We start from the raw sequence: 8,998 nt of genomic DNA on the forward strand, positions 1-8,998 counted from the left end.
ATTTCTGTATTTTTAGTAGAGACGGTGTTTCACCATGTTGGTCAGGCTGGTCTCGAACTCCTGACCTCGTGATCTGCCCGCCTCGGCCTCCCAAAGTGCTGTGATTACAGGCGTGAACCACTGTGCTGGTATTTTCAGTACAGACAGTGTTTCACTATGTTGGCCAGGCTGGTCTTGAACTCCTGACCTCAGGTGATCCACCTACCTTGGCCTCCCAAAGTGCTGGGATTACAGGCGTGAGCCACCATACCTGGCCTAACCACTGTCTACACTGGCCCAAGCCTTATTTATTTTGTGTCCTAAAAGGCTAGTCTATGAGGTCAGGAGTTCCAGACCAGCCTGGCCAATATGGTGAAACCCTGTCTCTAATAAAAATACAAAAAATTAGCTGGGCATGGTGGCACACGCCTATAATCCCAGCTACTCAGGAGGCTGAGACAGGAGAATCGCTTGAACCAAGGGGGCGGAGGTTGCAGGGAGCTGAGATTGTGCCATTGCACTCCAGCCTGGGCAGCAGAGTGAGACTCCGTCTCAAAAAAAAAAAAGGGCTAGCCTGGCTGATCAATGGGTGCAGCCAAGAGGCAGCATGGATCGGTGCAAAGACCACTGGATTTGTCATCAGGCAGACCTGAGTTCCAGTTCTAGCTCCAGAACTTACTAACTACATGCCTTTGAGCAGGTGACTTCATCTCTAGGGGCCTCTCACCTATTAACGGCAATAATAATTCCTATCAGGGAAGATTGGCCTGAAAATTAAATAAAAGAAACACGCAAAGCACCTGGCACATAGAAGCTGCTGAGAAAACGTTAATCACCCACCCCTCAGCCTCAATTAATGAATGACTGGGAGCCAGGGACTCGGGGATCTGTTGTCTGGCTGCAATAAACGTGCAGATGGTTGAGCAATCTACATAACCTTTGAGTCTTTTCCTTCCTTTGAGAGATAGAACTGACAATGGCCACTCTCAGGGTTTCTGTGAGAAGCAAATGAAACTAAGGTTGGTGAAAGGGCTTTGTAATGGGAAAGTTTGCTGAACTTGGGGTGAGGGGTGAAGGAGACTTTGGCTTTTCAGAGAAACTAATGAGGCCACTCTGGACCAGAGGCCCCAGCTAGTGCAGGTTGGGAAGGGCTGAAACAGGGCCTTGGTCCCAAAGGTACCCAGTGCAGCTGCGAAGCAGGGAAGACTGAGCAATGAAGGCCAATTTGTGCAATAGTCCTGCTTCCCCAAATGTTCCACTTAGCCTAAGGAGTCCTATTTTCAGTGCCCTGGGGAAGTGGCTGCTTAAAGGAGCCAGTGGGGAGCCATATCTTCAGATTTCACAATATCTGAAATCCAGCACTTGGCCCAGGCCCTCCAGGAATGCTCTTGCTCCCCAATAACCAGGTCCCTACTGCCAAATACACGTCCCCCAGCTTGCTGGCCCCCGATGAATAGGCACCTTTGCTATGCACACATGAGCCCCTAAGGCAGGTCCTGAGCAGAGGCCTCAAAAGAGGCTGGAGAGGACATGAGAATAGGATTCAGGGTGTACCCTGCATGAGGCACACAAGGCATCTGCGGTCAGCAGAGCTTTCAAGGAGGGCAGAGTGCGTGACACCAGCCAAGGCCATGCGGTGATGTGAAGGGGGCATTGGCCCGACACACAGTTCTCTCTGTCTCCATGAAGCATAGGAAGACAGTGGGGTCTGGAACAGGGCACTGGCTGGGCCCCTTTCCTCATGCACACATGTCTGCTAGAACACACCCTTGTACTGTGGGAAGGTTCCCGCACACACAGGTAAGCATGGATGTACACACATGTGCAGGTCATCTGTCATAGGTCCTAACAAATGCAGTCGTGCGTGAATACAGCCCCCCTTTCCTGCCCCCAGAAGTCAGAAGGATCTTTAAATTGCAAATCTGAGGCTTTCACTTTCCTGCTTAAAACATTTCAGGCCAGGCACCATGGCTCACGCCTGTAATCTCAGCACTTTGGGAGGTCAAGGCAGGAGGATTTCCTGAGGTCGGGAGTTCGAGACCAGCCTGACCAACATGGAGAAACCCCGTCTCTACTAAAAATACAAAGTTAGCCGGGAGTGGTGGGGCATGCTTGTAATCCCAGCTACTCAGGAGGCTGAGGCAGGAGAATCGCTTGAACCCGGGAGGCAGAGGCTGCGGTGAGCCAAGATTGCGCCATTGCATTCCAGCCTGGCCAACAAGAGCAAAACTCCATCTCAAATAAATAAATAAATAAATAAATAAAATTCAAATTAGGAGGCCTGGCGTGGTGGCTCATGCCTGTAATCCCAGCACTTTGGGAGGCCAAGGCGGGTGGATCACTTGAGGTCAGGAGTTCGAGACCAGCCTGGCCAACATGGTGAAACCCCATCTCTACTAAAAATACAAAAATTAGCCAGGCGTAGTGGCAGGTGCCTGTAATCCCAGATACTGGGGAGGCTGAGACAGGAGAATCATCTGAAGCTAGGAGGCAGAGGTTGCAGTGAGCTGAGGTCATCACCACTGCACTCCAGCCTGGGCAACAAAGTGAGACTCTGTCTCAAAAAAAAAAAAAAAAAAATTCAAATATCTGCCTGTCACACCTGCAGGTTGAAGTAGTCTGGACTGCTTACTGAAGCAGATAAGGCTCTTTATGGTCTGAATCTGACCTGCCTCCCAGCCTGGTCTCTGGCCCATTTCCCCTTCACCCGCTTCTGTGCTTTGAAAGTAATAGCAGTGACTGACAGTTTTGAGCTCTCACTGTGTACCACACGCTGTTTGTGTTTTTGTTTGTTTGTTTTTGAGACAGAGTTTCACTTTTGTCACCTAGCCTGGAGTACAATGGCGCAATCTCAGCTCAATGCAACCTCCGCCTCCTGGGTTCAAACAATTCTCTTGCCTCAGCCTCCCAAGTAACTGGGATTACAGGTGCTTGCCACCATGCCTGGCTAATTTTTGTAATTTTAGTAGAGATGGGGTTTCACCATGTTGGCCAGGCAGGTCTTGAACTCCTGACCTCAGGTGATCCACCAGCCTTGGCCTCCCAAAGTGCTGAGATTATAGGCGTGAGCCACCACGCCAGGCCACACACTGTTTTAAACACTTGACATGTATTAATTCATTTGATCTTCCCCATAATACTAAGTATTGTGATCCCTATTTTTCAGATGAGATCATGAGGCACAGAAAAGTTAAGTAACTTGTCCCAGGTCACACAGCTAGGACAATTCTATCTTCCATGCTGAATTCCTTCACCTCATCTGGGGGTCACGTCTTCTCTCTCTGGGTCTTGGAGTGTGCTTTTTCATCCACTTAGCCATCTGCCTCCCTCCTTCTCTCCCTCCCTCCCACCCTTTCCCTGGCGAATTTATCCTTCAGGTCTCAGCTTAGTCATCATCTCCTCCAAGAAGATGTCCCCATATTCCTTGGGAGAAATTTAGGTCCCTTGGCTATGTGCTGCCCCCGCTGGTGTTTCTGCCATCATATTCCTTATCTCCTTGAATTATAACCATCCTGATTACTCATCTGTCTTCCTACCTAGATTCTGAGCTCGTTGAAGCCAGATTTACACCTGGTTTGTTCATTCCTCCTTCAAGGCTAACACAGGGCCTGGTATGAAGCAAGCACTTGATAAACATTTGTTGGATTCAATGGATGAATTGTCCCTCGGATGTGTGCACAGATCTGTGAGTGTGTGAGATAAGTATGCATGGGTCTCCTCTGAGGGCCCTGCCCCCCAGGGTCGCAGTCAGGAGGAAAAGCCCCCTTCGGCACCCTGTGCTTCGATGGTTCTTAAAGATGTCCCCTCTATAGGCCGGGCACAGTGGCTCTTGCCTGTAATCCCAGCACTTTGGGAGGCTGAGGCAGGTGGATCACAAAGTCAGGAGATCGAGACCATCCTGGCTAACGCGGTGAAATCCCATCTCTACTAAAAATACAAAAAATTAGCTGGGCATGGTGGCGGGCGTCTGTAGTCCCAGCTACTTGAGAGGCTGAGGCAGGAGAATGGCGTGAACCTGGGAGGCAGAGCTTGCAGTGAGCTGAGATCACGCCACTGACCTCCAGTCTGGGCGACAGAGCAAGACTCTGTCTCAAAAAAAAAAAAAAAAAAAAAGATGTCCAGTGTATGCAGTATGGCCCCTGCCCTTCCAGCAGCACCCTCAAACTCCTCACCCTGATAGTGGATCCTGAAGCCACCGCCCCTTGGGACCCGTGGGCTCTGGAAGTGCAGAAGCAGCCGGTTGGTTGGGCTCCGAAGGACTTGTCCTTCTCCAAGCATGGATGAGTTGGCCAGGAGTCGGGGGGCCAGGCCTGGGGATCCCCCACCAGCCAGCACCAGGAGCTCCTCTTCCTGTGACAGGTTCAGCGTCTGCACCTAGAGAAGCCAGACACAGACCCGCCAGGGCAAGTCAGCCAGGTGTTTGACTTCCAAAGCCCCTGTCCTGTGCCTTTGCCCTGTGTGTAGCAGCCCAAAAGGCACCACGCTGCTGCCCAAGTTGTAGAAATCTAGAAGAGTTTTTGAGGTCACCTGAGTCATCAGACAGGTTCTTTGGCTCCCAGGCCAAACCCGTGCACACCCACAGCCCAGAGGAAAAGGCTTGGAAGCTGCACAGTCACATGCTTTGGTCCAGTTACCTGGATCTCAATGCCGTAGCCAGGGTAGACATGGATGCTGTAAGTGCAGTCCAGGAGCCCCAGGGTGCGGCTGACGGGGCTCCCCAGATCTGGAGACTCCACATACCCTTCGCCCTCGGAGATGTTGTTATTACACAGAACTGAGGAGATACAAATGGCTGGGATGGAAGGAATGCCTGTGCTTTTGCCCTCCCAGCCAAGCAACTCTGGCCTTCATCTCCCTTCTCCTTAGCACTTCTCATCATCTTTTTGTTTTGTTTGAGACAGGGTCTCGCTCTGTCACCCAGGCTGGAGTGCAGTGGTGCAATCATGGCTCACTGCAGTCTCAAATTCCTGGGCTCAAGTGATCCTCCCTCCTCAGCCTCCCGAGTAGCTGGGCCCACAGGTGCACATCACCATGGTGAGACAATTTTTAAAACTTTTTGTAGAAATGGGGTCTTGCCACATTTCCCAGGCTGGACTCAAACTCCTGGCCTCAAGCGATCCTCCTGCCTTGGCCTCCCAAATCACTGGGATTACAGCTGTGCGCTGCTGTGCCCCCCTCACCATCTTTTATTTTTTTATTTTTATTTTTTTAAGATGGAGTTTTGCTCTTGTTGCCTAGGCTAGAGTGCAATGGCTGGATCTCAGCTCACCACAACCTCCACCTCCCGGGTTCAAGCAATTCTCCTGCCTCAGCCTTCTGAGTAGCTGGGATTACAGGCATGCGCCACCACGCCTGGCTAATTTTGTATTTTTAGTAGAGACAGGGTTTCTCCATGTTGCTCAGGCTGGTCTCGAACTCCCGACCTCAGGTGATCTGCCCGCCTGGCCTCCCAAAGTGCTGGGATTACAGGCTAGAGCCACCATGTCCATCACTATCTTTAAGCAATGCTCCCTCTCCCACCTGAGCCAGAACTCCCTTTCCCAACTGTTATATAGCTGAAACAATTGGAACACTGCCTGGTACATAGTAAGGGTACAGAAATGCTACCTTTGTTATTATTATTCTCCCATCTGTACCCAGGACTCCTTCCACAGTTCCCAGCAGCCTCTCTCCCATCCATCCCCAGCGTGTACCTCTCCGGTCCTCCCACCCCCATCCCCTTGCTGTCGCCTCACCTGGGCTGGTCACCGTAGTGGTAACAGTTGTCGTGGTGATGATGGTGGTCGTCGTCTCCTCCTCTCCTCCCTCAGGCCCAAGGGGAGGCCCTGGGGAGGCAGGGCTGGGTGGGGGTGGGGCTGTGGTTCCTGGGGGCGGGGTCAGCAGTTCTGGCGCAGTGGGGCCTGCCCCCCTGACCCCGTTAGGGGTGACGGCTGTTGTCAGAGGCCCTGTCCCCGGCTCAGTGGCCCGTGGCAGGGAGGGCACTGCGAGAGTCTGGCCGGCCGGAGGGGTGGCTAGCGTGGGGTCCCGATCAGATCCTGGGACAGTGCAGGGAATATCAGAGCACAGGAGGAGCACATGGAGGACCTTGGGTGGGGAGCAGGGCTGAGGGAAGCTAGGGGTTCCCCTGCCATACCACAAAAGCCTCCCGCACAAGGTACAGCACCCCCCACCTTTCCCTTCCCCACCCCAGCCCCTACCTCCTCCCAAGGCTTCCACAGCCTGAGTCCCCCCTCTTTCTCTTCTGGTCCCTTCTCTCCACCCAGCCCCTTCCACCCTGATACTCCTCTCCCTGAGCCTCTCTCTCTGCCTCCTCACTCAGATCACGTTCTCTCTCTGGTTATCTCCTCTCTCCTCTGTCTCATTCTCTCTCGAACTCTTTATTTCCCCATTTCCCTGTTTAGTATTCTGATTGCACTCTGATTTCATGATTCGAGATCCACTAGTTTTTGTGTTTCATTCTCTCTGTCTCTGTCTTCCACCATTTCTCTGAGTCTGGTTCTCTGAATTTCCATCTCTGTTTCTATGTGTCTGTTTTTCTGTCTGACTGTCACCTAATCATTCTGTCTCTGTCTCTCTGGTTCTGTCTGTGCCCAGGTTTGACTTTCTCTGACAGTCTCGTTCTGTGTTCCCTGAATCTCACAGGAATGCAGGCTCTTTCCTCTGCAGTCTCTCTCTGCCTGCTCTTCTCTAGCCTGGCTCCCCATCTCCCTGAGCCCATATCCCTCCCTCTGCCTCTAGGCCACTCCTGCCACTCTGGGGGCCTCACCTGGCAGGTAGCCCATCTCTGGGCCCCTCCTCAGCAGGGCCCCATGAAGCAGTTCAGCCAGGGCCTCAGAGGCCACCGTGGGGGTCTCACTTCCAGGCTCTGGCAATATCTCCTCCTCCTTCAGGGGCAGACCTAGGAGGTGAAGTTGTGTGAGCTTCTCCACTTCCCCACACCCCTTCCTTCTCCAGAGAGATATTTTCTAGAACTCTTCCTCCCTCCTCCATCAGCTGGGCCTGCAGGGGCTCAGATGGTCCCAGGCTCGACTGAGGGCCAAGATCGGAGGAGGGGCTCCCAGCTGCCCTCATACTCCCACTCCCACACCTCTTCTCTCCCCTCCCCTCTCCCTTCTCCCTGGGCTGTGTGGGCCTTCATTGAACACCTTAGCTCTTATGGACCCTGGACAGCGCCAGCAAGGCAGAGGGGTCGCCGGTGCTGCCTTCCCTTTCACCTCAGTGGTGATCTCCCCCCAACCCTGGGGCTCTGCAGAGGATCTGGCCGCACCTCCCAGCCCTTGCTTCCGCAGTGCCTGGCTTTCTCTCTGGGTTTCTGTCTCTGCAGTGTGGCTGTCTTTTCTCTCTCTCTCTCTCTCTCTCTCCCCCCCACCCTCTCTCTCTCTGGTCCTCTGCAGTCTCTGCCTCCTTCCCTGGAGTCTGGCTGGGGGTCAGAGTGGGGGACTGAAAATCTGGTCTTTGAGCCCTGCCTCTGCTCATCTGTCTTTGTCCATTCATCCAAGAACAGTTGTGTGTACAGCGCCTGGCATCTCTCTCAGCACCTCCATCTCCCACCCAGGTCCCTCCATGCTTCTGCCGCCTCCGCAGACATCCCCCCAACTTTCCCAGCCCTCCTTCTTGGATCTAGCCCCTGAGACACTGCTAAAAGCTTCTCTCATTCATTTCTCTGCCTTCTCAATATTGAGGGTTAAGGGGCTTCGGGTTCAAGCCTGAAAGCTCTGGCTTGCCCCTTCCCCATCAGCTGTGCCTCTCCCCTCCCCCATGTGCTCGGAAGACCCAGGATATTAAGAGAAAGGAGGGTGGAGGACCCCGCTGGACGCCTTCCTGGGGCCCACCCCCACAGTCTCATGTCCTTACCCTGGATCCAGGGACAGCTCAGCAGAATTAGGAACAGCAGCTGGGGAGGCGGCGGGTGCTGGGCCCTGGGAGTCCCCATGGCGACTCACCCCGATCTCTCTCCTCTGTGCCTCTCTAAGTAATCTGGCTGCCACCTTTCCTCCGTCTCCGTTTATCTTTCCCTTTAATTGTTTTTTTTTTTTTTTTTTTTTTCCTCGTAGGAGTCAGCAAAGAAAGACAATTTCTCTGCCCCTTGGGATGGAGGGGCAGAATTGGGCTAGGGGTCGCCTGGAGCCCACCCCCCTTTGCTCAGTCTCCTCTGTCCTCTTCTCGCGGCTCTGTGGTGGAGGGGGCGCGGCTCCGGCTGCAGGGGGTGGGGCCGAGAGGGCCGAAGGGGCCGGGTGGCCTGGGTTACCCTCCTGCTCAGGCGCCTGGGTCCACTGGGCTGTCTGGACCCCAAGCTAGGGGACTGGGGAGGAGAAAGACAGCTTCTGGGGGTTTAGGGTGGGGTCGAGGATCGAGGGGGTCTCCACTGGGCTCTAGCGGGGCTTGTCGGGGAGGGGAAGGGGTGGGTTGGGGAACTGGGAGAGCCGAAGCTCGGGCACTGGAGCTGCGGGAGGGAGAAGCTGAGAAAGGTATCGAGCCCACGTCAGATCCTGGGGACGGGCGGAGGGAGGGGCCTGGGATTTATTTGACGGGGAGGGAGGAGGAGGAAGTGCAGATGGAGGAGGGAGGGATCATACGAGCCAGGGCCGTAATCCTCACTCCCGCGGCCCCTAGGGGAGGCAAAGGAAACTCTCTGGTCCCAGCAGTAATTAGCCCCCTCCGCCTGCCATTCCAGCACATCTGGAATCTGAATCTCCTCTTCCCAGGGTGCCGAGGGGCTGCATAGCTTGGTTCGCGCCTGCTAGGCCCCCAATTATGCCCCCTGTTCACATTCAGACCTCCCAAGGGGCTTCCCTTCCCCTTTTACAGTAGCTCGGGTGGAATGGGCTCTCCCTCCTCCAGGGGAATAGAGAGCTTCCACGATTGTGACAAGTCTCGTGGGTGACGGGCCGGGGTTTGGGGAGGAGAGACAGACCCCTCCTCTTCCATAAACCCTGACCCCGGCCAGCTAACAGGCGGCCTCGGCTCTGATTTTCCCTCCGGAGCGCCCTTTTCAGCACCAGCGGCGCGCGGACAGCTC

The 8,998-nt window shown here is 54.2% G+C and overlaps 1 protein-coding gene across 9 annotated transcripts in view, besides 1 other annotated feature; it reads right to left on the reverse strand.

Annotated features, from left to right (window-relative positions):
* The window catches only part of SEZ6L2 (seizure related 6 homolog like 2), a 28,392-nt gene extending 19,949 nt beyond the window's left edge, over positions 1-8,443 (reverse strand). For 4 of the 9 annotated variants that reach the window (NM_001388365.1, NM_001388364.1, NM_201575.4 and 1 more), the window contains exons 1-5: positions 7,834-8,443; positions 6,746-6,877; positions 5,715-6,014; positions 4,614-4,753; positions 4,152-4,353 (exon numbers count right to left, since the gene is read on the reverse strand). In NM_001388365.1, coding sequence (NP_001375294.1) covers positions 4,152-4,353; positions 4,614-4,753; positions 5,715-6,014; positions 6,746-6,877; positions 7,834-7,912 — 853 coding nt within the window. In that variant the 5' untranslated portion in view covers positions 7,913-8,443. The remainder of the gene's footprint in view (positions 1-4,151; positions 4,354-4,613; positions 4,754-5,714; positions 6,015-6,745; positions 6,878-7,833) is intronic. The other 5 variants (NM_001114099.3, NM_012410.4, NM_001388363.1 and 2 more) reach the window with 3 other exon arrangements.
* Positions 8,341-8,635: an enhancer, noted in NCBI's record as "tiled region #6067; K562 Activating DNase unmatched - State 8:EnhW, and HepG2 Activating DNase unmatched - State 1:Tss". NCBI's record gives its function as "activates a minimal TATA promoter and a strong SV40 promoter by Sharpr-MPRA in K562 cells, with weak activation in HepG2 cells {active_cell/tissue: HepG2 | K562}" and the evidence as "EXISTENCE:reporter gene assay evidence [ECO:0000049][PMID:27701403]".

The sequence above is a fragment of the Homo sapiens genome, chromosome 16 (assembly GCF_000001405.40).
Source record: "Homo sapiens chromosome 16, GRCh38.p14 Primary Assembly".
Classification (NCBI taxonomy): Eukaryota; Metazoa; Chordata; class Mammalia; order Primates; family Hominidae; genus Homo; species Homo sapiens.